This window comes from Homo sapiens, chromosome 10 (genome assembly GCF_000001405.40).
Source record: "Homo sapiens chromosome 10, GRCh38.p14 Primary Assembly".
NCBI lineage: Eukaryota > Metazoa > Chordata > Mammalia > Primates > Hominidae > Homo > Homo sapiens.
This window is the reverse complement of record NC_000010.11, coordinates 472,844-499,248: the sequence shown is the minus strand read 5'-3', so window position 1 is coordinate 499,248 and position 26,405 is coordinate 472,844. Positions and strand designations below refer to the sequence as shown.

The 26,405-nt window shown below is 50.2% G+C and overlaps 1 protein-coding gene across 7 annotated transcripts in view, besides 1 other annotated feature; it reads left to right on the top strand.

The window, feature by feature from the left end:
* The window catches only part of DIP2C (disco interacting protein 2 homolog C), a 415,468-nt gene that overhangs the window by 190,420 nt on the left and 198,643 nt on the right, over positions 1 to 26,405 (top strand). For 4 of the 7 annotated variants that reach the window (NM_014974.3, XM_005252427.5, XM_011519432.3 and 1 more), the window contains one exon: positions 12,719 to 12,790. In NM_014974.3, the coding sequence (NP_055789.1) occupies positions 12,719 to 12,790 (72 nt within the window). Of the gene's footprint in view, positions 1 to 12,718; positions 12,791 to 14,300; positions 14,469 to 26,405 lie in introns of all 7 variants that reach the window. The other 3 variants (XM_005252426.4, XM_005252428.5, XM_011519429.4) reach the window with 1 other exon arrangement.
* Positions 7,519 to 8,046: an enhancer, noted in NCBI's record as "H3K4me1 hESC enhancer chr10:537143-537670 (GRCh37/hg19 assembly coordinates)". NCBI's record gives its function as "activates a minimal SCP1, AML or CMV promoter by ChIP-STARR-seq in primed H9 embryonic stem cells {active_cell/tissue: H9 hESC(primed)}" and the evidence as "EXISTENCE:reporter gene assay evidence [ECO:0000049][PMID:30033119]".

Below are 26,405 nucleotides of genomic sequence, written 5' to 3'. Positions count from 1 at the left end.
TCAGCACCACATGTGGGAAACCTCAGCTGTGTAGCCATTGAGGGGTCAGGGCTGCAATGCTGACAAGGAGTCAGTCAGCATCGCGTGTGGTGAACCTCAGCTGTGTGACCATCGTGGGGTTCAGCCATACTGTTCTCATTGAGCAGCCCATTTTCAAAGTCTGAAAAAGGATAACAAAATAATAGGACTGAAGTTTTCATAGTCAGTGCCTTGCATGAAAACTGGTGGTTGAGAATTCCTCAAGGAAAGCAGAAGTTGTTCTCCGAGTCAGCAGTGCTGTGCGGTGCAGAGCAGCGTTGGTGAGAAATGCCGGCATGCAGATAAGTAACACCATAGAAAATCCACATTCACAGCTCTCAGAAAGCTTGTTTTATCTATAATTAGCTGGCAGGACTCAACAAATGCGCATTGCCTCCTTAATTCGCCCACACAGCAGTAGCTTTTTTCAGGCCTGGGGTGTTACTGGGAAACGGTGAGTGGGGTCCTGGCTCATCCTGAGGTGTGCTGGAGCTGAGAGGAGGTTTTGTACTTGGGGATGGAGGTTGGGGCACGCTTGAGCCCAGAGTCTTGAGGTGAGCTGACTTCTTCATTGAAAAATTATATTCTCTGGGAAGGAATGGGCAGAAACTTCAGGTAAATGAAATGGAAGTCAGTCATCCCTTGACAGAGGTGCATCTCTGACGAGCCCCCTAAGAGAGAGCCCCCTGGGCAGCAGGGAGGAAGAAGCATGACTGCGCTGTGTTCTACACGTCCTGGTGGGGTCTGTCAGCAGGACCCCTGAGGGGAGGCAAGCATCTCCACTGGCGCCTGCTTCTGTGGCCCGGACTGCTGATTGTGAGTGGAATTAGTTCACTCAGGTGTGGAGATTCAAGGGGCTCTGAGGACTTCCTTCAGCTGAGGCATCTCCTGTTAGAGCCCAGTCATTCCCTGGGTGTACAGCGTGTCCCTGTCATCTGCTTCCCCACCCTTTGTGAAGAGACAACCAATGCCAAACAGCAGCAGCATCACTGCAGCCGGGGAAGCCAGCTGGATAGCAAGAGGTTGGGAAAACTCAAGTACTGTGTTTATGAAACGCATGACAGAGGCTGGATTCAGTGGCTCATGCCTGTAATCCCAGCACTTTGGGAAGTCTAGGTGGGTGGATCACTTGAGGAGTTTGAGGCCAGCCTGGGCAACACAGCAAGACCCCATCTCTACAAAAAATACACTGTTAGCCGGGTGTGGTGGTGCCTGCCTGTGGTCCCAGCTACCCAGAAGGCTGAGGTGGGAGGATCACTTGGCCCTGGAAGGTCAAGGCTGCTGTGAGCTGTGACTGCACCACTGCACTCCAGCACAGGCAACAGAGGCAGACCTGTCTCAAGAAAAAATTTTTCATCTCATGACATATGTTTTCCCTGTCCCAACCTATTCCAAAATAGCTAATTTTTTTTGGCGCTTGCATTTTGCATTTCAACTCCAAATGTATGATGAATGTTGCTTCAAGAAATTCTTCCTCTGCATCCCATCTGTATGGCGGAACTAGCCAGGTGCCCTAACATTACCGGACGCTTCTCTGCATGGTCTTACGTGTGTCAGAGGAGCCCTGGCTGCATGTTCAGCTTCTCTGGATCCAAGACATTGCTGTGTGTGGCAGGACTGATCCTCACTACGTACGGTTTGGATTCCTTGTATGAGCGTCTGGAAGAAGACAAGGTCTTGAGCTCGTTGCCGCAGCAAACAGTTCGCAAGTGAAGGACGCCTGCTTCTCCCTGTCCAGAGCTGCCCCATTGCTGATGAAGACAGACTGTGAAGTTGGTCAACAGAGAAGCAGCCGACACAGCAGAATGACCAGGAAGTAATGAGGGGTGTGGGAGGGGAGAGCCTGTATTCCTTCCCCTGCCTGCTGAATGTTAAAAATTTCCAAGGTGCAGAGTTGGCCTTCCATATTCGTGGGTTCTATAGCCCTGGATGCAGCCAAACTAAAAGTGAAAATATTCAGAAAGAAAAGAATGGCCTAACCTGTTCTGAACATGGGTAGACTTTTTCATTATTCCCTAAACAATACAGTACACCCACCATTTACATAGCACTCACGTTGTTTGGGGTATTGTGAGTAAGGTAGAGATTGATTGATTGATTGATTTCGAGGTGGAGTCTTGCTCTAGTCGCCCAGGCTGGAGTGCAGTGGCACGATCTCAGCTCACTGCAAGCTCCATCTCCTGGGTTCATGCCATTCTTCTGCCTCAGCCTCTGAAGTAGCTGGGACTACAGGCACCCGCCACCACACCTGGCTAACTTTTTGTATTTTTACTAGAGATGGAGTTTCACCGCGTTAGCCAGGATGGTCTTGATCTCCTGACCTCGTGATCTGCCCGCCTCGGCCTTCCATAGTGCTGGGATTACGGGTGTGAGCCACCGTGCCTGGCCTGTGGAGATTTTAAGTACAGCAGAGGGCACCGTGGGTTCTGTGCACTCAGCACTCACATTGTTTGGAGTATTGCGAGTAATGTAGAGATTTAAGTACATGGGAGGGCACCATGGGTTCTATGCACTCAGCACTCACATTGTTTGGGGTATTGCGAGTAATGTAGAGATTTTAAGTACACGGGAGGTCACTGTGGGTTCTGTGCACTCAGCACTCATGTTGTTTGGGGTATTGCGAGTAATGTACAGATTTTAAGTACACAGGAGGGCACCATGTGTTGTGTGTACTCAGCACTCACGTTGTTTGGGGTATTTGGGAGTAATGTAGAGATTTTAAGTACACGGGAGGGCACTGTGGGTTCTGTGCACTCAGCACTCACATTGTTTGGGGTATTGCGAGTAATGTACAGATTTTAAGTACACGGGAGGGCACCGTGGGTTCTGTGTAGTCAGCACTCATGTTTGGGGTATTAAGAGTAATGTAGGGATTTTAAGTACACGGGAGGGCATGCATTGGTTCTGTGTACTCAGCACTCATGTTGTTTGGGGTATTAAGAGTAATGTAGAGATTTTAAGTACACGGGAGGGCATGCATTGGTTCTGTGTACTCAGCACTCACGTTGTTTGGGGTATTAAGAGTAATGTAGAGATTTAAGTACATGGGAGGGCACCGTGGGTTCTGTGCACTCAGCACTCAACGTTGTTTGGGGTATTGAGAGTAATGTAGAGATTTTAAGTACACGGGAGGGCACCGTGGGTTCTGTGTACTCAGCACTCAAGTTGTTTGGGGTGTTAAGAGTAATGTAGAGATGTAAGTACACAGGAGGGCACCGTGGGTTCTATGCACTCAACATTTCTTCAGGTATTGCGAGTAATGGAGAGATTTTAAGTACACGGGAAGGCACCGTGGGTTCTGTGTACTCAGCACTCACTTTGGGGTATTGCAAGTAATGTAGAGATTTTAAGGACACGGGAGGGCACCATGGGTTCTGTGTACTCAGCACTCATGTTCTTTGGGGTATTGAGAGTAATGTAGAGATTTAAGTACATGGGGAGGGCACTGTGGGTTCTGTGTACTCAGCAGTCACATTGGGGTATTGCGAGTAAGAGAGATTTTTAAGTACACGGGAGGGCACATGTGGGTTCTATGTAAATGCTGAGCCATTTTCTATCAGGGACTTGAGCATCACAGACTTTGGGATCCTGACCCCTGGAACCCACCCCCACGGACACCAAGGGTGACTGTACTTCAGCATGCTTTATTTTTTTTTTTTTGTTCACTGAGAGAGTCGCTAGAAGAAACAGAATTTTTTCCACACAAACCAACATTCAAAACCTATAGTTTTTAGGGAGGAGGAGGGGAAGGATTTCAGGTTTTTTTCCTGCCCCTTCAAGCTATTAATAACACATTCCTCACCTTGTAGTTAATTTGTATGTGTGGTGAGAATACAGAAGATCCATTCTCTTACCCAGTTTCAGGCAGATGATGCATTGTTAACTGAATTTCAGGCAGATGGTACATTGTTATTAACTGTAGTTACCACACTGTACATTCGATCTCCAGAATTGACTCATTTTTTCTTGAAGTGTGTGCCCTTGACCAGCATCTCCCTGTTTCCCCTTCCCCAGTCCCTGCTAACCCCTATTCCACTCTGTTTCTACAAATTCTACTTTTTTAAGATGCCACATGTAAGTGAGATCATGCAGTATTTGTATTTCTGTGCCTGTTTTATTTCACTTAGCGTAATATCTTCCAGGTTTATCCATGTTTTTGTAAGTGGCAGAATTTAGTTCGTTAAGTTGAATAGTATTTGTTTTGTCCATACACCATGATTTCTCTGTTCATCCACTGATGGATGCGTAGGTCAATTCCACATCGAAGTGATTGTCAATAGTGCTGCAGTGGATGTGAGCATGCAGGTATCTCTCCCTTACACTGGTTTAAATTCCTTTGGATATTTACCCAGACATGGGATTGCTGGATCATAGAGTCCTGTTTCTAGTTTTGGAAGATGCTCCATGCTATTTTCCACAGCAGCTGTTCTGCTTTGCACTCCCACCAACAGCGTGCAAGGGTTCCCTTTGCTCCACATCTTTGCCAACACTGCAGAATTTACGTTTCTGATCCCCTTGGTTCCCCTGACATGGGCACAGGTGGCGTGACTGCTCACTACACCTCTCTCTGAGCTTTCCTTTCTCATGCTGCATATTGACTGGTTGAGCAGCCTCCTCATTACACCTCTCTCTGAGCTTTGCTTTCTCATGCTGCATATTGACTGGTTGAGCAGCCTCTTGGATTGCTTTGACTCTTGGTAGCTTTGACTTAAAAAGGCAACTGAGCAGAAAGCCGTAGCTACTATGCAGCTGCTTAAATGATTCTGCAGAGACTTAAAGTCAGACTCTGGGTGAGGGAGTGTGTGCTTCTAAAATAGGAAGATAATGCTTGATGTGTTGTGGAAAGTTGAGGCTCTGTTGGCCCCGGTGCTGAGGTCACTGCGCGCCTCTGACTCTGGTGTGAACACACAGTGACCATGGAGCTCTGTTGACAGAGATGTCCTCCTCCTGGGGTTTAGGACTCTGGACTGCATGCGCTTTTGTGTTTACTGAGGTTAGCCCACTTCTTTCTGCTGTCAAAGTGATTCCATCTTTGATAGCCTTAGCAGTTCTCTTGTTTCTCCAAAAGCACTTTCTGATGAAGAAGGGGGTCACATAGTGTGTGTTCATGACCATCCCCTGTGGCCCAGCACTCGGGATAGACCACTCTGCCACTCACCTCGGGGTGGTCCAGCGTGACTTTTCAGATCCTGGAAGTGACGTGGATTTTGTTTATTCCAGTTGTCCTCCTCCCCCTTCAGCAGGGCTGTGATATTCTCCCTGCTGGGGCATCTGAAGTGTCTCCTGTAGTTGGAGGTAGGACGGCGGCACTGGGCCAGGCGGTTCTGCACGATGACTTTGTTGCCACCAGTCTGGCCCTTGGCCAGATGCCTTGGGCATCTCGGACTTGCTGAGACTGTCATCTGTGAAACAAGGATGATAGTGCTTGTGGAGTGTTTAAATGACATAGTTGTCTGTAAAGTTGGCAGTAAGACCCCGACTTTGTAGGTGGATAATCGGCCTCCATCCTTTCTCCTGTCCACCTGTCCTCATGCTCATGTTCCCTCCCAATCCAAAGAAAAAACTCTGAGGGGGTCTCTCCCTCTGTCTGTCGGGAAGCGGAGGGTGGAGCGTGAGAGACTTGCTCTCAAGCCATGAGGCCCACGGCGGCCATCTGAGAAGAGCCCACAGCAGGCGGCGGGCCATGCTGGGTATTCTTCTACACGTCAGCTTCTCGATGTCCAGCTGGAAATAATGGAAGCTGGGCTTCATTGTCCCTACCTTGCCCCTTCTCGCTCCCCCCAACACCAAAAAATGTAAATACAACATCCACTGAAACCAACTTACTGCTGAGGCCTGAGATCTGCAAAATTGAGAATCAATGTCATGGGAAAGGGAAGTAGCTGTGTTTAATACGGCATAGTCTTCTCAGAGCTGTCTTTCTACAGGTCGGGTTTCTTTCCTTTTTGTGTGAAGGAGGGATTTCTAACTCCCAGGACACACTGGAGAAATTATGCTTGCCTGAAGAGTTTTTAGCAAGTTATGACAGCGGTTTTGTGTGAAACTGGCATGTTTAAATCTTCCCACTGGCCAGGATGACTGCTGGGGCATCTCCGGGGACCTCGTGCAGAGCCCCCAGTCTTGCCAGGGACTGGAAGGGAGGGGGTGTTTCGAGGCTGCAGTAGGACAGGAGTCTCCTCAAACTCACAAAGCCTCTGCTCCGCGCGGCACACTGCACACGTGCTTTGAATTTTAAAAAATTCCATCGGCATTCATATTTCTAAGCCCTTCAGGGACTGTTAATACTACATTATTCTCTTTTAACATCAGAAGCTTATTTTCAAGACCACTGCGGTGGTGTGAACTTCTGTTGATCTTTCACCTGTTCTTTTGATCCATGTGTTACAAATAGAATGGATTCCAAACATGCTGTTTCCTTTAATCCCCTTTCTAACTGGAGTTCTTAACGTACCAAAGAGAAGAGCTACAGGGGACAATACAAATTTAAAACCAAAAAGGTAAAACTCTAAGTGACCTTGTCCACCTGCCTGGCCCGAGTAAGATCTTACTGCAACAGCATGTCTAAAATGTGTTTCTTTCCTGCTCCTACCGTTAATTAAATATTTGTGTGCGTGTGTGTGTTGTTTGAGACAGGGTCTTGCTCTGTCGCCCAGAGTGCGGGGCGCTAGGCACTAAATAACAATAAATAATGTTTTTTATTAAGCAAAAAGCTCAGGTGAATGTATGAATCCTAGTGCAGGCTTTATGTTTACCCTGGCACCTTATTTAAAAGATCTTTATGGAATTTAAGCTGCCGATGCTTGCACTGGAAATGTGGCAGGGGCTTGTGAGAATGAGGGGGTGATGGGCACAGCAGGTGCAGGTGGAGCCATGGCAGAGCACGGGTGGCCAAGGCGGCAGGGCCAGGTTGGGAAGGACTTGGAGGCCCTGTGGGGAGTTTGGTCACAGCCCAAACAGCAGGGAGAAGCCTCCAACGCAGTTTGGGGAGAGAGGCTCACCACGTTTGCATTCTTGCAGCGACCCTTCTGTCTGCTGTCTGGGGTATGCCTGGGGCAAGGAGCCTCAGCCCCAGAGCTGGAGTGTCTCCGACACGGGGGCCCGCGGCGTCTGGGGTCCCTAGATGGTGGTTGACATCAGAGCAGAGCAACAACTGGGTTCTCAGGGGTCAGGATTTTGAGATTCCTCTTAGCCCCTGTTTTCTGGGGTCGGGATTTTGAGATTCCTCTTGCCCCTGTTTTCTGGGGTCGGGATTTTGAGATTCCTCCTAGCCCCTGTTTTCTGGGGTCAGGATTCTGAGCTTCTTCCTAGCCCCTGGTTTTCTGTGGTCCATCTTCTTTGCCTCCCTCCCCTGACGGGGCGATACCTGTGGCCCTGCAGGGTGCACAGCAGGTCTGTGTTCATGAGTCCTCCCATCAACTTGGACGTCTCTCATGAATTGAATGTGAAATAGATACTGAATGAATGCTTGTTGAACTTTTTTTAAAGATTTTCTTGTGTCCTTAGTGCTTTGAGACCTTCACATCCTGTGTGTTTGATCTCTCCATCTGCGGCAGCAAGTAGATAGGTGCTATCTCCAATATTTTATCCATGAGAAAAATGCGACCCACACTAGTTAGCTGGCCCATGGGGGACCCTGCTGTGCTCAGCTTGCTGGGGTGAGAGGACATCCCAGGTCCTCCTGCCCCTGTCCCCAGTGCAGGCGAGGGGTACACACAGGAGCTGTCACCGGTCTGCAGCGCCTGCTGGAGAACGAAGAAGCCTATCGGAGATTTAAAAACGAGGCTGCGGCCTTGCCTTCCGGGGCCTCCTGGCTCCTTATAAAGCAATAGGCTCAGAGCAGCAGCACCAGGGCTCCTGACAGCCGTAGAATTCCCAACATGGAAACGATTGCTTTGTTATATAAACTATTAATTCCAGCATTAAATAGTCTCCTGACACTGCACATGGAAACCGCCACTGCCGAGTGGGTCTGTGTGCTTGGAGCTGAGCCACGCTGTGGAAGCAGCTCTGTGGCCCGTTTCTTTCATCCCCTAGGGTCACGCGGCTCCCAAGTGTCCGTGTCTTGAGCCTGACGTTCACAGCACTGGCTCTGCACTGGTTCCAGTTGGGCCAGATTGGCTGGTGCGTGCCTGAGGCCGAGAGGAAGCCACAAGGGCCGGGTGTCTGTCTGTTCTGTCATCTTAACCCTGCGTTTGCCAGGCAGACCTTTCCCTGCTTTTGTAAGATTGGGTTTTGCCCTGAAACTCTGGATTGCAACATAAGTGAGAAAAAGAATTGTTCCCTTCAGGGAGGGAAAGAAGCATCATCCCTCAGTCTCATTCGACCTTCTGCTGGTGACTTTGCCTCACTGGGGTTTTCACTTCCAAAGTAGGACTTGTGTGTAAATCTCTCCTCTTTGTGATTTTAATTTCTGCTTCTGAAATTTTAATTCTTACGGAAAGTCTCTGAGAATAACATAAGTGGCGTTTTTTTAATGAAGTAGAAAATGTTTCTAAAGAGATCACTTATTTTTCTCACTGAGGTTACAATTACTGCATTTACTTTTCTGTCATAAAGTGAAAAGGAAATTAAATAAATGGGTACCTTGATGTGGAAGCAGGAAAATATGCTGTTTGGAATTTTACGTGGAAAGCGCTCTGGCAGGGGCTCCTGTGGTTCACATTCTCTGACAGCAGCCTTGAGGGTGTGCCTTAGACCCAGCCTCCCGGAGGGCCTCCCCGGAGACGGGAGTTGACTTTCGAAATAGCCTTGGATGACGTTCCCATCGCTTCCAGGTTTGGGGAAATATGAACAAGCAGGCTGTGAGCAGTGGATACGCCTAGCGGGATAACAGACACGTGATGGCCCCAGCTTAGAAACGTGGGGAAGGATGTGCCCTCTTTCGGAGCATTTGCGCCTTTAGTTTACGTAGCTGCATGCTGATGACCACATGCCCTGATGGACGCAAGGTGAGAGGGAGAGAAGAGAGGCAGGAATTAATTGATCATTCAGCCTGAACCAATGTGAAATGGAGGAAGCCCCAGGCACCGTCAGAGCCACCGTGTCCCTGGTGTGAAATGGAGGAAGGCTCGGGCACTGTCAGAGCCACCGTGTCCCTGGTGTGAAATGGAGGAAGGACCAGGCACCGTCAGAGCCACCATGTCCCTGGTGTGAAATGGAGGAAGCCCCGGGCACTGTCAGAGCCACCGTGTCCCTAGTGTGAAGGTGGAGGAAGCCCCAGGCACCGTCAGAGCCACCGTGTCCCTGGTGTGAAATGGAGGAAGGCTCGGGCACTGTCAGAGCCACCGTGTCCCTGGTGTGAAATGGAGGAAGGACCAGGCACCGTCAGAGCCACCATGTCCCTGGTGTGAAATGGAGGAAGCCCCGGGCACTGTCAGAGCCACCGTGTCCCTAGTGTGAAGGTGGAGGAAGCCCCGGGCACCGTCAGAGCCACCGTGTCCCTAGTGTGAAGTGGAGGAAGCCCCGGGCACCGTCAGAGCCACCGTGTCCCTAGTGTGAAGTGGAGGAAGCCCCGGGCACCGTCAGAGCCACCGTGTCCCTAGTGTGAAGTGGAGGAAGCCCCGGGCACCGTCAGAGCCACCGTGTCCCTAGTGTGAAATGGAGGAAGCACCAGGCTCTGTCAGAGCCACTGTGTCCCTAGTGTGAAATGGAGGAAGCACCAGGCACTGTCAGAGCCACCGTCTCCCTAGTGACAGCGTGGCATTGATTGAAGGTCAGGCCTTGGGCCCAACCCAAGAAGCTGTTCAGGGAGGATACTGTGTAGTCAGCCAGCTAGCTTCTGCCTGTCAGTCTCTCACCTCCCACCACCTGCCATCTGTCCATCATCTCTGTCGTCTGTCTATATGCATCATCTATTATCTACCTGTCACCTATGACCTGATTGTATTCGCACGGGAAACATTGGTTCTTCAAAATAAAGGACGGCATGTAAAAGTGCTGCTAGAAGGTTTGCTCATGTAAACCTGCAGCGAGTCTATCATGGGAATCTGGTGGACCTCTGTCTACCAGATGCTGAGGCAGTCCAGAGTTAAAAATAACTGGACTTTTTCCATGAAAACGTAGCAGGAGTTTGTGAGCCATGAGCTTTGGGGCCTGAGTGAGCCTGGTCTCAGGGCCGTGGCATCCAGCGCTTCGGCTTTGGGGTAGCATGCACATCAAGCCGTCGTCTTCTGCATTTTGGGATAGAATCATCGTAAGTTTCCCCTTTGCCCGCCCCCCAGTAACTGAACAGGTAAATGATCACCCCGCGTCTGCCCAGGTCTTCAGCGCACTCCCAGCCAGTCACTTACCTGCAGGTCTCTCTGCGTCAGGCACAGACGTCTGTGTGTGTGGTACATGTGGTACACGCAGGAGCACCCTGGCTTCAGTTTGTAAGACAACTGGGTTGGGGCACAGTTCTATGGGACATTGTCTGGTTTTAAGGATAACTGTGCATGTGTGTTACAAATAAACCATGAACAGTCATCCACGACATCACGCAAGCTACAGCGTGTGATTTATGCCGTGGGTACCCAGAGGCGTCATCCATGCAGGGCAGGGGCTGGGAGAGGGCAAAGCAGGAAGTAGAGTCCCGTTTCCTTCGGAGAAGGGCACTTCCCAGGCAGGTTATGGAGTCAGGAGGATGTACGGGGCGTGAACATGCGAGGAAAGCCCAGGAAGCCAGGGCTGCGGCCTCTGGGCACCACACCAGCTTTAGAGTGGAAGACTCTAGGTGTGGTTTTCATGGGACATGGTTTTGGAGCTGGACAGAGTTTTGTCTTAGATTTGTGGTCCTGGGTGAGGAACGTGAGTACCATTTGTGCCTCAAATTCTCATCTGTAAAATAAGTTCTTATAAGGATTAAACACTTTCATCTTTGGGGATGGGCCAGCAAACCCTCCTGTGAAGAGCTGCACTGAACTGTCTTGCCTTGCAGCTCGGCAAGGAGCAGGCCGTGAGCACAGAGCGTGTCTCCAGAAGTGGCCTGGAAGCTGGGCTCAGCCTCGAGACTTAGTTCCCAGACCCTGGTTTGGGGGAAAATGCGGGGCATGGAAGTTACTCAGTGCTGCCACCCTTTCCCACCTCCTAGGTTTTGAGAGATGATAGTAACCTAGGATTTATTAAAGTCTTGTCTGGAAATTTTCTTTGCTGATTGACTGGGGGCTCGATTTAAATCAAGCACGTGCACATGTGGCTGCTTCTGTGGTTCAGATTTTGGACATTGTTTGTAAAACGGGTTAACAAGGCATTTCCAAAAGCAACTGAGCGTCTCCGTAGTGGGCAGCTGATGGCTGCCGGTGTGGAGTGCCCGGCAAGCTTTAACATTTCTGCAGAAATTGTCCTTTGTTGTCAGTGGCCAGCTACCTAGTTAGCATCGGCTGGGCACGGTGGCTCACGCCTGTAATCTCAGCACTTTGGGAGGCTGAAGTGGCAGATCATGAGGTCAGGAGATGGAGATCATCCTGGCTAACATGGTGAAACCCTGTCTCTACTAAAAATACAAAAAATTAGCCGGGCGTGGTGGCCAGCGCCTGTAGTCTCAGCTACTCGGGAGGCTGAGGTAGGAGAATGGTGTGAACCCAGGAGGCGGAGCTTGCAGTGAGCTGAGATCACGCCACTGCACTCCAGCCTGGGCGACAGAGAGAGACTGTCTCAAAAAAAAAAAAAAAAAAAAAAAAAAAAAACACTCATTGATGGGCGGATGCGGGTTCCGTGTCATTTGGTTCTTGGCTCCGTGTTGAGACGTCAGCCTTGTGTTCCGTGGGGGAGACGAGAACCTGTATCATGAGCTGTGAGTTGGTGGAGGCAGCCGTGGAGGCAGAGGCAGCATCCGAGACTGCCCGCCTTTCACTAGGAAAAGTGAGTTGACCAGCTTGTGTGTGTACCTTGATAACTTTTCATTCATTTGCTATATTTTTGTTAAAGCTTGAATTTTTCACTCTTCTTGGAATTATGGTTTGATCAGTCTTAGAAAACAATACAACAGATCCAAAAAAATGAACAGCGAATGAGTATTCTGTGTGTGCTGGAGCTTGTGAATGGGAAGGGCCTCTGTGTGTCGATGAGGTGGCTTTGTCCTGTGTGCTTGCGCTGGCTCCAGGAAAGGCATGGCTGCTGCGCGTCCGTGGCTGTCTGTGAGCTTTAACATGTGGATTCTTGCCTCACCACAAGCACCTTTCTCTTGTCTTCTGGATTTCTGCAGGTTTCACACCTTTTGCTTCTTCCCTTAGCCTTTGTCACTCCTTTTTCAAAAACACTGTGGCGGCTTCAAGTCCTTGTGACCGACCTGCTTGGTTAGAAAACATCTTGTTAATGAAGAAGATGCCAATAGGTGCTGGTGTCGGCCATCCCGGCCCTGGCAGCTGCAGGATCTGTCGTTGACTGAGTTAACGAGAGCCCCGGCCACCAGGCTTGGCTTCCTGTGCCAGCGGGTGGGGATGAGATGGCAGGGGTCTAACCCTGGACCCCATCCGGATAAATACAGAAGGGGCCAGAAACAGGCGTGTGTTTAACAAATGAGTTTTAGTGACTTACATGCTGTGGGCTTTTGTTCGAGAGCAGGGGAGGAACTGAAGTTGTTTGATGTGCAGTGCTTGCTTTTAAAATTCTAACAATGAGGCACACAGAAGATACTGTGATAACTGTGTCTTCTTGGGCACCGTTGAATGATAATGCTCTATCCACGGAGACCATACTGAACTTCATTTTCCTTCTCTTGCAGGTGACATCACACAAAAAGGATATGAAAAGAAGAGGTCAAAGTTAATTGGAGCCTACCTTCCGCAGCCTCCGAGTAGGTAACCCCCATGAGTAGCATGAGTCCTCTCATTTCCCGCATTCACTATGTGCCAGAGAAACATCTGGAGGCAGACGCTCCCTTGCTTCCCAGTCGGCAGGAGGAGGCGTCTGGCGTTCACCCTCCAGGCATTCAGTTCCTTTGAGTGATCACACGTGCTGTGTGAATATACAAGGCACAGAGGATTTTTCTATAAGTGTGCCTAATAGGTGTTTTCTCTATAAGTAGAGATCGGTATTGGGTTGGTTACTTTAAAATGCTATAATCGTAAAAATATGAGTGCATTAGTGATTTCAACATATTTGGTTTAGAGAGCTATTTATTACTATTGATTCTGGTTTAATCCAAGGCTTCTGTTGGTGGCACAGGCCAAATCTAGACAGTGCTGTGATACCCCGCCCAGGACTTGGCAATCGTGAAAGCTGGTTGTGTGTTGAGATGTGGTTGCAAACATCCATGATGATTCTTGAGAAGGGCAGTCGGTTTCCCGCCAGCGTTTCTACGTGTGCAGATTGGCAGCTTTCCTGCACTTGAGCTGGGTTCTGTAAATGTCAGGAAAAAGAATCTCATATTAGATGGGGATTCTAGCACCTCAGTTCCCAGCTGGCAAGCTCAATTCAGCCCAAGAGCGACCTTGAAAATTTGGTAGGCTTGAGGAATGGCTTAAAGCTAACACAAGCAGTTTCTTCCTCAAACATAAAGGCTAGCAACATAAATTTTAAAGGTGGAAATTGAACTTGCATAGTTCTTACCATTGAAAGAAGATTTTAGAAGGTTTAAGGATGCACATGTCCACACCTGCACAAACCCCGATTCTGTTCTTCCCGAGGCCCGTCCGGGTCCTGTTGACTCAGTAAGGAAAGTTTCCTGAGGCTCAGGCTGCAGGAAACGGTGTGGAGATTCTGCTATTGGTAGTTTTGTTTTCATTTCGTGTTTTTCTTGCCTTGATTTTTGAGACAGTGATGTAACAGTGAACATGTTTCTGTGGACCTTGCTTAGCAGAGGCTTAAGTCAGGGATAGACGCCGAGGAACCCGAGAGAAGGGGAGCAGAGGGCTGGGCTGGAATGCTGGGGCGAGAGGCTTCAGGGCAGTGCTGGGTAGATCCCCTGATGGCCTGCGCCCCCTCCCTCATTCTCTTCTCGCAGAGCCATGGGGCGACAGCTGCCCCCGCCCTGTCCCTGTGAGTTCCCCTCTGCAGGTGCCCTCATGTGCTGCAGAAGGTGGGGTCTGACTGTAGGCCACGGACGCTGTTGGTTTTAACTTTCTTGCCTTGCCAAACAAAAGTGAAACAGAAGCGGTTCCTCGCTTGCCAGGACGGTTCTCCAGCGCACCGTGCCTCCCGCGGTGGCCCTGGCCTTAGCCGGGCGCAGAGGGCGGTCGTGCCCTGTGGTCCCCTTGGTGGTCTGTGTGCTGTCCTGCATGGGGTCGGCAGCTCTGCTCAGCGCTGTAACAAATTTAAAAAAAACTAAAGTTTGAATTAATTAGTTTTTTTTCAACTTGTTACAGCAGCGAATGGAGCTGCCGTGGTTCGGTGTAGACTGCAGCACAGTGAAGGAGCGCCGAGGAGAACATTCCGCTCTGCCCACATCGGGGTGTGCGACGTCCGAGAAGCTGCGGCTCGGGAGCGGGTGGCCAGCACCGCAGGGAACCGGCCTCTGTTTTACTTTCGTTTCGGTGAGCGCTGCTTTGCTGAGAGCCAGCCCCACAGCAGGGTACACATTAGAAAAGGGCCACCCGCCGAGTGCCATCCCGTACAGACGTGTAGGGTGTGGCCTTGGGGGCCTGAGGGTCCCATTCTCCAGTGAGCCAGGTCGCTCCACAGGCCCAGAGCTCGCCAGAGACCAGGTCTGTCCCTGTGAATCAGGGCCCAGTTCTGCGTTTCCTATTGAAGTAGAACGTTGCTTTTACAATTCCCCTTTCTCAGTTGGGCACCACTTAGAAAACACTTAAGAAGAATGCGTGACAAATTATAAAACTTCTTAAAGCCACTGGTATTCTACAGACTTTCATCTTATAGCCAAAGACCCAATTAAAGGATGAGCTGATGGGTCTTGGCCTCTGAGATCTGCTAGAAGGAGTGATTTTGAGATTTCCATCTCCAAAGAGCAAAGTAAGGGTTTTTGAAATAGAAAAAGCAGTTAATCATAGAGTATGTTCTTAGAGGTAAGGATTCTGTTCAAAGGTAAGAATTACTTTGGCGGACAGTATTTTGAATACAGGAATTTCATGATGCAAAAAGGGAGTTCAGTGCATTTTCCACCAGAATGAAGAAAATCATATGCAGGTGGAAGTTTTAGGTTCGTGTTCAGGGTTACACTTCAAAATGTGTTTTAAAATCACATACAAGGCCGGGGGTGGTGGCTCACGCCTGTGATCCCAGCACTTGGGGAGGCTGAGGAAGGGGATTGCTTAGGTCCAGGTGTTTCAGACCAGCCTGGGCAACAAAGGGAGTCCCCGTCTCTACAAAAGAAAAAATTAGGCATGATGGTGGGTGCCTGTGATCCCAGCTATATGGGAGGCTGAAGCAGGAGGATTGCTTGAATCCAAGAAGTCAAGGCTGCAGTGAGCTATGATTGTGGCACTGTGTTCCAGCCTGGGGGACAGAGCGAGACCCTGTCTCAAAAAAAAAAAATTGGTAAAATGAAGTCATAGAGGCAAACTTTATTATTACAGTTGGCCACTGGGGTCTCAGAAGAGGACACCCCGCCTCGCCTCCTGGCCTCCACTGCGTTCCTCCTCTCTGGGCCCTCTCAGGAGCCCTCTCTGGGCTGATTCCCTCGCACCCTCTCAGGAGCAAGGGGCAGAGCTGATGAGAAGGCGACAGGGCTGGGTTTTAGCCACGAGGTCCATTTCAGAATTTATCTGCCGGAAACGTGAGGAAAACAGGAGAAGGACGGCCCGGGCCGCCTGATTGAGGCCCAGACACCAGACTCAGGATGGGGGGACTCCGGACAGCGGTGCTAGGGCCCCAGCGAGGCTGTTTCCCTGCCGACCTTCATTTGGAGACGTTGCTTGTGACACGCAAGTGTGCACCATGTGCAGCTGTCCTGGGAAGCAGCAAGGAACGCAGACGTTTCCAAAGCCGAGGCTGCTTTCTTGGTTGGCCCCATGGGACGTGACTTCCTTTGTGCAGGATCTTCGTGGAAAACATCTTTCTTTCTTGTTCCCCTGTGCTGCTGCGCACTTGCCTGTAAGGGGTTTGTGTTCTGATTAACTTCCACCCTTTTTTCCTAACATTTACATTCCTATTCCTCCAGAAACTATTCTAAAAGTGTTTCTAGGATGTTGTTTGGGATGCAGAATTACGAGCTACAATGGGGGTTCTGTTCCCTAGGCCAGCCAGGCACGTCCCAGCTGCTCAGGAGGGCAGCGTCTGTCGGGGCCTCCAGTCGGGATTCAGAAGTGAGCGTTGGTGCTGAGCACCTGCCTAAATCTAGTTGAGGAAAAGACTGTCCGGAGCCAGGAAGAAATGTGAGTTATACATGCAGTGAAAGAAGGGTCAGAGAGGGTGCCTGGAAGATCATCTTCAGGGAGAAGACGCTGCTTAGGGAAGCTGCCCACTTCGCTCTCACCCTTCTGCGGTTCAAACCCATCCCTCATCAGTCTCTAAGCCCAGTCAAAGTTGTAAACCTAGGAAATAAAATCCACTGCCTGGCAGCCTCTTCAGAGAGATCTTAATAACAGTGTCGACTTGGATAACAAGGCCTCACTGCTTGTATGACACAGGCCGTGGAGATTTAGAGAGTAAAATTTCAGTGTGGCTATAAATGGTGGAACCTTCTTTGCTCAGATACAGCTCCTCTTTCTCACAGCAACTTCTTATGTGTTTGTCTGTGAAATGTTTCTTGGTATTGAGTGATTTATGAAGATCTGGTATTCCTCTCCAAGCCCAGCTTGCTTTTCCTTCAATAGCCGGACAGCTTGATGCCCAGGTGCAAGTTACAAGGACTCTGTAAGGGGGTTTGTCTGTGCGGCACAGCCTCTCTCCATGAGGTCACGTGAGCGGCCTCTCCAGGGAAGAGGTATCCGTGGTCAGTGTGAGTTAAGCCCCACACTTTTTCCATCATGGGGTCGCGTGAGCAGCCTCTCCAGGAAGAGGCCTCCCATGGTCAGTGTGAGTTAAGCTCTACACTGTCTGCACCGGAGGCCTCTGGCCTGCAGGCTTGCACTGTGCTGTCCAACTGTTGAGTCAAATCACAAATACGGACTTGTCTCAGTTCCTCCCTGCTACCAGGGCTCCCGATGGCCACGCCGCTGTCCCTCCCGACAGCCATGCCGCTGCATCCACATGAGGAACTCTGCTCAGGCCGTGCACTTGGCCGTGTCCAGGTGGCATTTAAAGCTCAGTTTGGATGCTCTGTCCTGAGGGATTTCTCCCCTGATCCTTCAGTCAGACCATCCGGATTCCCATCTCCATGTCGTCCTGTCTCTGAAATACCACTGTCATAGTTGGGTGGTGGTTACTAAACGCTAAGTCTCCACCCCAACCCCCAGCAGCAGTATGTAAATCACCTGAGGCCCCGGCTGCCTGCTCACGGAAAGTGGACATTGGGCAGGTATTTGCTGTATGGATGTGTGGGTGCGGCACGGAGGGGCTGAGTCTGCCTGTGGGGGTGGGCCGGGGCAGCCCTCACTTCCCCCCGCCCCACTGAGTGACCGTCCCTACCGTGGTACGAGGATGGATGTGCAGTGTCCCTGAGGGCAGACGCCACCGTGTCCGCATGATGCTCAGATCCACGTGAAGCCCTGAACAGGCACCGGAGACCTTCCACTGCCTCAGGTGTCTATCTGGGCTGCAGTTTTATTTTTATTCTTGATTTGGGTAAATTTAAATGGCAGATGGTAACATGTAAGGGCTAATTAATGACTGAAATGACAGAGGGTAACATGTACCTCAGCACCATCCAATCAGTGGAATTTTATTATCTTTTCAGAACTTGGCTCCCATCCCAGTGTTTGATCCTGTGACTGGATCACATGTTCTCATGAGAACAGCTGCTCTGGCCTGAGTGCTGTTGCTTGCAGTGGCTGCCTTGCCCTGTCGCCACGGAGAGGGCTTCCTCTGAGGTCCCGTTGCAGATTCTCCCACTGGGCTTTGACAGTTGTGAGGGAGGAGGTCCCTGCAGTTGGCATTTGTGAATTTTGCACTTTGGTTACATACGGAATGAGAAAGTTTCTTAAGTACGTAAATGCCATTTTGTTCTGTCGTCTTTAGAAGACGTGGCTGGCTGGCCCTGGCCTGTTCACCTGGGCTGGCCGTTGGTTGTTCTGATTCCTCGTGTCAGCAGAGGCTGTGCTTTCCCGGGGCAGGTGCGCAGTGGGTCCGTATTCTTGTTGTGCCATGAGAGTTACAGTCTGGTGACCCCAAGGCAGCGCTTCCTAGACGTGCTGGGGAGGGACCGCCTCCTCACCTGGGCTGGAGGGTCCCGGGGACCTGTCCCGGGCAGGTTGCCTCCACTTAGGGTCTCAGGCCATGTGGCAGCTCACAGGGTAAGGGTGTTTTAAACTTAAATCCCAGAGGAGGGGAAACGTGGGTGTCCAGATGGCATTGCCTGTGACATAGCGTGAATCTTTCTAGACCGCGTTGCTGTAGTGACAGGTGAATCACCTGTGTTCCAGATCAGCCGTGCTCCCGTCGGCACTTCACAGGGTACCACGCTTAGCTGCCGGAGACGTGTTCTGCCACAGGGAGCTGTCAGTTTGATCCCGTACGTTTATTTCCTGGTCTTTTCAGCAACATTTAATGAATCGCATTCCTCGTCTTAGGCGCCAGCCGCTATGGAGGGAGTGCAGCTGAGCCTACGCCATGCGGTGTGTCTCCAGTGGGGAGGGTAGCACCCACTTTGGAACTGCTCACGTGGGTTTTGTGAAAAATCCGAGGTGTAAGCAAAGTGCAGAAACGTGAAGGCCCGGTCCTGATGGTGAGATTGGCATCTCATCCAAGGAGCGTGGACTGGAGCTCGGGCTGGTAGATGAGACCGTCATCCAGTGAGCATGGACCAGGGCTCAGGCTGGCGGGTGAGACTCATCCAGTGAGCGTGGACTGGGGCTCAGGCTGGTGGATGAGTCTTATCCAGTGAGCATGGACCGGAGCTCAGGCTGGTGGATGAGACCCTCATCCAGTGAGCATGGACCGGAGCTCAGGCTGGTGGATGAGTCTTATCCAGTGAGCATGGACCCCGGAGCTCAGGCTGGTGGATGAGACCCTCATCCAGTGAGCATGGACCGGAGCTCAGGCTGGTGGATGAGACCCTCATCCAGTGAGCATGGACCGGGGCTCAGGCTGGCGGGTGAGACTCATCCAGTGAGTATGGACCGGGGCTCAGGCTGGCGGGTGAGACTCATCCAGTGAGCGTGGACCGGAGCTCAGGCTGGCGGATGACACTCATCCAGTGAGCGTGAACCGGGTCTCAGGCTGCCGGATGAGAACCCTCATCCAGTGAGCGTCGACTGGAGCTCAGGCTGGCGGGTGAGACTCATCCAGTGAGCATGGACCGGGGCTCAGGCTGGCGGGTGAGACTCATCCAGTGAGCATGGACCGGAGCTCAGGCTGGCGGATGACACTCATCCAGTGAGCGTGAACCGGCTCTCAGGCTGCCGGATGAGAACCCTCATCCAGTGAGCGTCGACTGGAGCTCAGGCTGGCGGATGAGATGCAGACGTCAGACTCTCCCGTCCCTGGATCACTGACAATTTCCAGTGTATGAGTCCCTAATCAAGTTAAAACATTATAATAGGAAAAGGGTTGCTAAGCAAATATATACTGATGTGTGGCAAAGATTTGGGCTCATGAAAGATGGATAGAAAGGAGGACAGTGTGGGGACGGGCGCATTGGCTCATGCCTATAATTCCAGCACTTTGGGAGGCTGAGGCGGACAAATCATGAGGTCAAGAGTTCAAGATCAGCCTGGCTAACATGTTGAAACCCCATCTCTACTAAAAAATATTAAAAATTAGCCAGGCATCGTGATGGGTGCCTGTAATTCCAGCTCCTCGGGACGCTGAGGTAGAAGAATCACTTGAACCTGGGAGGCAGATGTTGCAGTGAGTGGAGATTGCGCCATTGCTCTCCAGCCTGGCAACAGAACAAGACTCCATCTTAAAAAAAAAAAAAAAAAAAAAAAAGCAGTGTGAGAATTCATGGGGTTAGGGCAGGTGCTTAGAATGGAATTTCAGTCTTACCATTGTATGATGTTCCCATCCCAGTGAATACAAGGAAAATTATTAAATTTCTTACCAGTGTTTACAACAGTTGTCCTGTTTGCTTTCTGGCAAAGTCCTTGATTGCACTTATTTTAGAAAGTTTTACGATGTGAACAAGAGCATGTAATTGAGACCTGGAGAGAATGGGACTGGATTTAGAAACTGCTCTGGGACAGACCTGAAAATACAGAAAAATCCCCGGCAGTTTCACTAAGGGCCCAGAGCAGGCTTCTCCTGCAGGACACTCCTGTGGAGGCCTCTGTGGAGCCCAGAGCGCTTGCCCCTGGGTGCTGGGGAAGGAGGGCAGGAGAGCCTCTTGGCCCTCCTCTCCTCCTCCCTCCCTACCCCTCTCTTCCTCCCCCTATCTTCTCTGGGAGCTAAGGTGAGCCATAGAGACGTTGCTATCTGCACCCCCAGCACGCCCGGACACGCGATGAGTGAGAATAAGATGGGAATTTGGATGTATCTGCACGCCTGGACACGCGATGAGTGAGAATAAGACGGGAATTTGGATGTGTCTACACCCCCAGCACGCCCGGACACGAGATGAGTGAGAATAAGACGGGAACTTGGATGTGTCTACACCCCTAGCATGCCCAGACACGGGATGAGTTGAGAATAAGATGGGAATTTGGATGTGTCTGCAGCCCCAGCACGCCCGGACACGGGATGAGTGGGAATAAGACAGGAATTTGGATGTGTCTACACCCCCAGCATGCCTGGACACTGGATGAGTGAGAATAAGATGGGAATTTGGGTGCATCTGCACCCCCGGCATGCCCGGACATGAGATGAGTGAGAAAAAGATGGGAATTGGGGTGTGTCTGTACCCCCAGCATGCCCTCCCCGTCTGCCCCTCCCCTCCCCCCCTCCCCTCCCCTCCCTTCTTCTCCCCTCCCCTCCCCTCCCTTCTTCTCCCCTCCCCTCCCTTCTTCTCCCCTCCCCTCCCCTCCCTTCTTCTCCCCTCCCCTCCCCTCCCTTCCCTTCTTCTCCCCTCCCCTCCCCTCCCTTCCCTTCTTCTCCCCTCCCCTCCCCTCTCCTCCCTTCTTCTCCCCTCCCTTCTTCTCCCCTCCCCTCCCCTCCCCTCCCTTCTTCTCCCCTCCCCTCCCCTCTTCTCCCCTCCCCTCCCTTCTTCTCCCCTCCCCTCCCTTCTTCTCCCCTCCCCTCCCCTCCCCTCCCTTCTTTTCCCCTCCCCTCCCTTCCCCTCTCTCCTTTTCCCCTCCCCTCCCCTCCCCTCCCCTCTTTTTTCCTCTTCTATCTTCTCTTCTACTTTCTGTTCCCTTCCTTCTCTTTTCTTTCCTTCTTTTCCTTCCTTCTTTCCCTCTCTTTTCCTGTCTTTTCTTTCCCTCTCTTTTCCTTTTCTTCTCTCTCGTTTTCTTCTCTCTGCTTCCTTCACTTCTCCTTTTTTCTTTCTCCCTTCTCCTTCTCTCTTGTTTTCCTTCTCTTTCCTTCCTTCCCTTCTTTCTCTCTCCTTCTTTTCCTTTTTCTTCTCTCTCCTTTTCTTTCTCGTTCTTTCTTTCCTTCTCTTTCTTCTCTCTCCTTTATTCTTTCCTTTTCTCCGCTTTCCTCCTATCTATTCACCACTTCCTGTTCATCTATTTTTCTTCTCTTCCTCCCACCCATCCACCTTCCTCCCACCCATCCACCTTCCTCCCTCCCCATCTCCCACCTATGCACCTTCCACCCATCTACCTTCCTTTCCCCCTTCCTCCCCTCATATCTCCCACCCATCCACCTTCCTCCCCACCTCCCACCTCCCACCCATCCACCTTCCTCCCCACCTCCCACCTCCCACCCATCCACCTTCCTCCCCCTGCCTCCCCCCATCCACCTTCCTCCCCATCCACCTTCCTCCCCATCCACCTTCCTCCCCATCCACCTTCCTCCCCATCCACCTTCCTCCCCTCCCTCCCCTCCCTCCCCCTCCCTCTCCTCTCTCCTATCCATCCACCTTCCTCCCGTCTCTTCCTTCCCTTCCTTCTCTACCTCCTATCCATCCATTCTTTTCTCCATTCGTTCCTCCATTCTTCCTGTGTGTGTTTCCATCCATTTGTCTATTCTTTGCTGACTTTGCTAAGCCTGTTTCTTTGACCTTTTCCTTCTTCCTGTGCTGGCCTCACTGCCTTCTTTTCCTTCTGTGTACCTTGTATCTCCTGCTGTCTGTGCTCAAGTTTTATTTGTGGTCTTGCTGTAATTCTAGAGGAAAGTAAAAATGTCACTGACGTTTGGATTTAAATGGAAATGTTCCAGCCCTCTGTGGGAGCCCTGAGGGTTCAGAATTATTTCCCGAGCCCATCCTGTGGCCAGCTCCACCGAGAGCAAGGTCACCTCCTGCCTGCTTCTCCAGGATCCCAACAGATGCCCCTTTCGGGCGACCTTGATAGCTTTTCCTTGCTCCAAGATTCATTCTTGGATCTGAAATTTTAGCAGTTTCCGTGTTTTCTTAATTTTCATAATGGGATTCCAAAAATGCTTCTTCCTGTTTTCAAAACAAGCCAGATTTTGTTCTTGTAACAGAGATTGAGGCTCTGGACACCACTGCAGGTACCAGGAGAATGACAGCCTCTGCTCTCAGGAGAGGGTGTGGAGGGGCCTGGGAGAGGGGCCCCCATTGCAAATGAAAAGGCAGTCACGGGAGAATGTTCAGACACCGCACAAGGGTGACACCGGGCCGCTCGCACTCATGGATCACTTCTGCACCTGCATTTCCTTGTCAAGAAAACAGCAGAAGTAATAGTCCTGGCTTGGTGCTTTTTGTGCTGAGGAATGAGTGACGCATCAAATGCTTAGGCCAGGGCTGCAGTGTTAGCTACTGCTGCTTCTGTCCAGAGGCAGGAGGCTGAGCCTAGGAAAGTTCACAAACTTGCCTAGGATCCCACAGAATGACAGGAGCCAGACGGATTGGGGCCACGACCGCAGGCATGGGATCTCCCGTCCCCGGAGGACCGGATCTGAGCTGGTGCCTCACGTGGCCAATGCATGATAGCTGAGCAGGTGCTCCTGGGAGGAGAACCTCATCTCCATCTCGGCCGTTTTCTTGCCTCAAGAGACCTTGCTCTTTGTTCTCCAGACTCTTGAGTGTGTGAAGGCAGCCACCCCATCTCCCTGGGGATACCTCCTTCCCAGGGACCATGCCGGCCTCTCTCCCCTGACCACGCCTTCTGTCATAAGGCTTCTAGTCTTCCTGTGATGCTCCTGAGAGCTGGTTTTCAATCACAGTTCCCCAAACTGAACGTGACTGTGAACGTGAGCCCTCAGCAGCGCAGAGCGGTATGCTGCAGTCATGCGTCTTAGTGATTGTTCATGTTTGTGCTACCCAGAGGTATCTGTTCCAGCAGCCATGCTTGGTTTCCCTGTGACGGGGACAGTGGGTATGCCCCTCTGCTGCCCCTGGGCCCTGTGCGGTCACAGGCTGGAATCCAGTTGAGCGACGCCTATTTGTGGCTTTTTTCTTCCAGGAACATATCGTTAAGCCACTTGCAGCCTCGTTTGGAATGACATCAAAGGAAAATGAATGAAGGAAACATGTACATTCATACTCGTTTCTTTTGCCGTCTTATTGCAACCTGTAGAAGCTAGTTCTTCTATTTTATTCATTTGTTTTCAGACTTTTGTTGCAAACTTTACATTTCCACTTAGGAGATATTCACGAGGATGGTATGCAAAAGTAGCTTTCTGAGATCAGACATGTAAGGTCTGTGAGAAGCCGAGCAGCAGCCTGGAACTCCGTGCACCATCGTCCATGGGCACCAAGAGGAGGTTAGGGTTGGAGGTAATCACAGGAAGCCTGTTTGAGTGGACCAGATAGGTGTGGTACTGAGATTGAAGGTGAAACATTAAAAACGTCAGGCCACTGGATACGCTTGGCAACTTGGAAGTGTGCCTTTATCTGTTTCTCCCAACTGTGCTGTCAGTGACTATATAAGTCCACAGCACAAGAGAAGTTAGAGAAATTTGTGGTTCATCATTTAGCAAAATGGAGAAAGCCAAGATGCAGACACGGCGGACAGCCATGGGTGCTGTACACATGGAGCCCAGAGAACGGTGTCCAGGAAGCAGGCGGCCGCTTTTCCTCCTCCTCCCAGCCATGTGTGTTATCTGGAGAAATTAAACTGGGAGGCTCCAGATTTGGGGATGATACTGACAACAGAGGCTCCAGGTTAGAGGGTGAACATGCCTGTGTTGGAAACAGGAGAGGAGAGGGCTCTTCGGGCAAACGAAACAGCCCCGTTGAAGCCTTCCTTGGGGAGAGATTTGGTGGTGTGCCCCCGTGAGAAGAAAAACCTGATTTGCAGCAAAAAGATTATCGAGGGAGAAAAGAAAGGAATGGATATTACAACCTGGCTTGCAGCTCCTCCAGTGGGAATGAATAAAAGATTATTGAAGGAGAAGAGAAAGGAATGGGTATTACATAAGGATTATAGCATCAGAGTGAAGTTTAACTTCTCACCAATAATGGAAATGAAAGGCAATGAATAAAAGTAATTTTCACCCAGAAGTCCGTATCTAGGCGAAAGACTCGGTCTCACTGGGGTAGAAAGAGAAGCACTTTCGGATGTGTGGGGCCCCCAAGTGTTCCTTCTGGTTCTTCCTTTCTGAAACATTCAAGGTGCTCCTTTAGCACGGGAGTGTGGAGAGACGAGGGGGCATTGAAGAGCATGAGAACAAGTGACCAACACAGCAGCCACAGCCAGCGGGAAGAAAGGCGTGGCCCAGTGACGGTAGCACGTTTGGGACTGGGGCGGGGGCTCCAAGAGGACTTCCAGGAAAATTGAACAGATTCTCACCAGGTTGTCAGTGTTTGATCGTGGGCAGGAAGGTATGGGAAAGAGTTTTTCAGTTCTGCTGGAGAATTGTGAAAGGATTGGCAATAGGTACATTGTAAGCCAAGATAGTGGAAAATAGATAAAATATTAACTCCAGAATCATTGAAAAGCGTAAGATAGAACGGTATTTGTAGCACACTGCGGACGCTGATGTTGATGACCACAGTGGCGTAAGGGGTGGTGTCTAAAAAGGACAATTCAGGAAGTCATGTGGTAAGTCCATGTTTATGAATGTAAGTGCCAGGTAGCTACTGTTTTTCATGTGAGACTTGATAATACTCTTTGATTTCCTAAAATGCATCTGTTTGATAAAAAGGTAATTGAAGATCATTTTTAAAAGATCAGTTGTAGATGATGACTGGAAGAGGTTGGAGCAGCAGACAGTTCAGTCCTCAGGAACTGATGGTGATTTGGATGCCCTGAAAGAAAAGCACATGAAACTTAGCAAAATGACGGTGTAGGAGCCATGCTTAACTTAGTTCTGAATTCGCCAGCCTGATACATGAGACCCACACACGCACCATCAAAAGCTGATGTTCAGAAACCACCAGAGTAAGGAATATGAAGTCCACAGACTCTACAACTCTCATAAGAGCCCATCATGGAAAACCAGGGACTAAATATTTCTTTTGTTAACTTAAAACTTTTATTTCTGGTTTACTTTCAATCAGATATTACTGATCCATTTCTGAAGAAGCATCTATTAGTGATTGGTGCTCACTCTTAGAGCAGTTCTTCATGGAACTGTGGGGACGACGTAGGATGACGTCCTTCCTGTGGTATCAGAGCCGTTCACGGAGCTGTGGGGACGGCGTAGGATGACGTCCTTTCTGTGGTATCAGAGCCGTTCACAGAACTGTGGGGATGACATAGGATGACGTCCTTCCTGTGGTATCAGAGCCGTTCACGGAGCTGTGGGGGTGACGTCCTTTCTGTGATATCAGAGCCGTTCACAGAACTGTGGGGATGACATAGGATGACGTCCTTTCTGTGGTATCAGAGCCGTTCACGGAACTGTGGGGATGACATAGGATGATGTCCTTTCTGTGGTATCAGAGCTGTTCATGGAACTGTGGGGTGATATTGTTCCCGTGGTGTCAGAGTAGTTCTTCGTGGAACTGTGATGATGATGTCCTTCCTTTGGGGGCTTAGTTTTGTCTAGTTGTGTTCCTTGCCACCCTGTTATTGCCTGAATGTAATCAATATGTGACAGGTGGATTCACATCAATGTTTTGACCAATACCATTAAACCGTTTTTATCTGACCGCATTAATGTTTTTTGTTATTCACCAAGTAATTGTGATTCATAGTCGAACATAATCTGTTAAAACACTTGGCATCCAATGGAGTAAGTTTCCAGAGAGTAATCTGGAATGAGCAAAGCTGGACGTTCATGGTATGTCCTGGTTACCTGAATTATATTGTTAAATTATTATCTAAGATTTATTTTAACAATTACTTTAATAACAAATATACTTTTAAATTTTCTTAAGAGCTTATACAGCTCATTCTGTATATTTATTACATTAAAAGGTCATAACTTGAGTCTATGTCTTGGGCCCTGTTGCTCTAATCCTGACT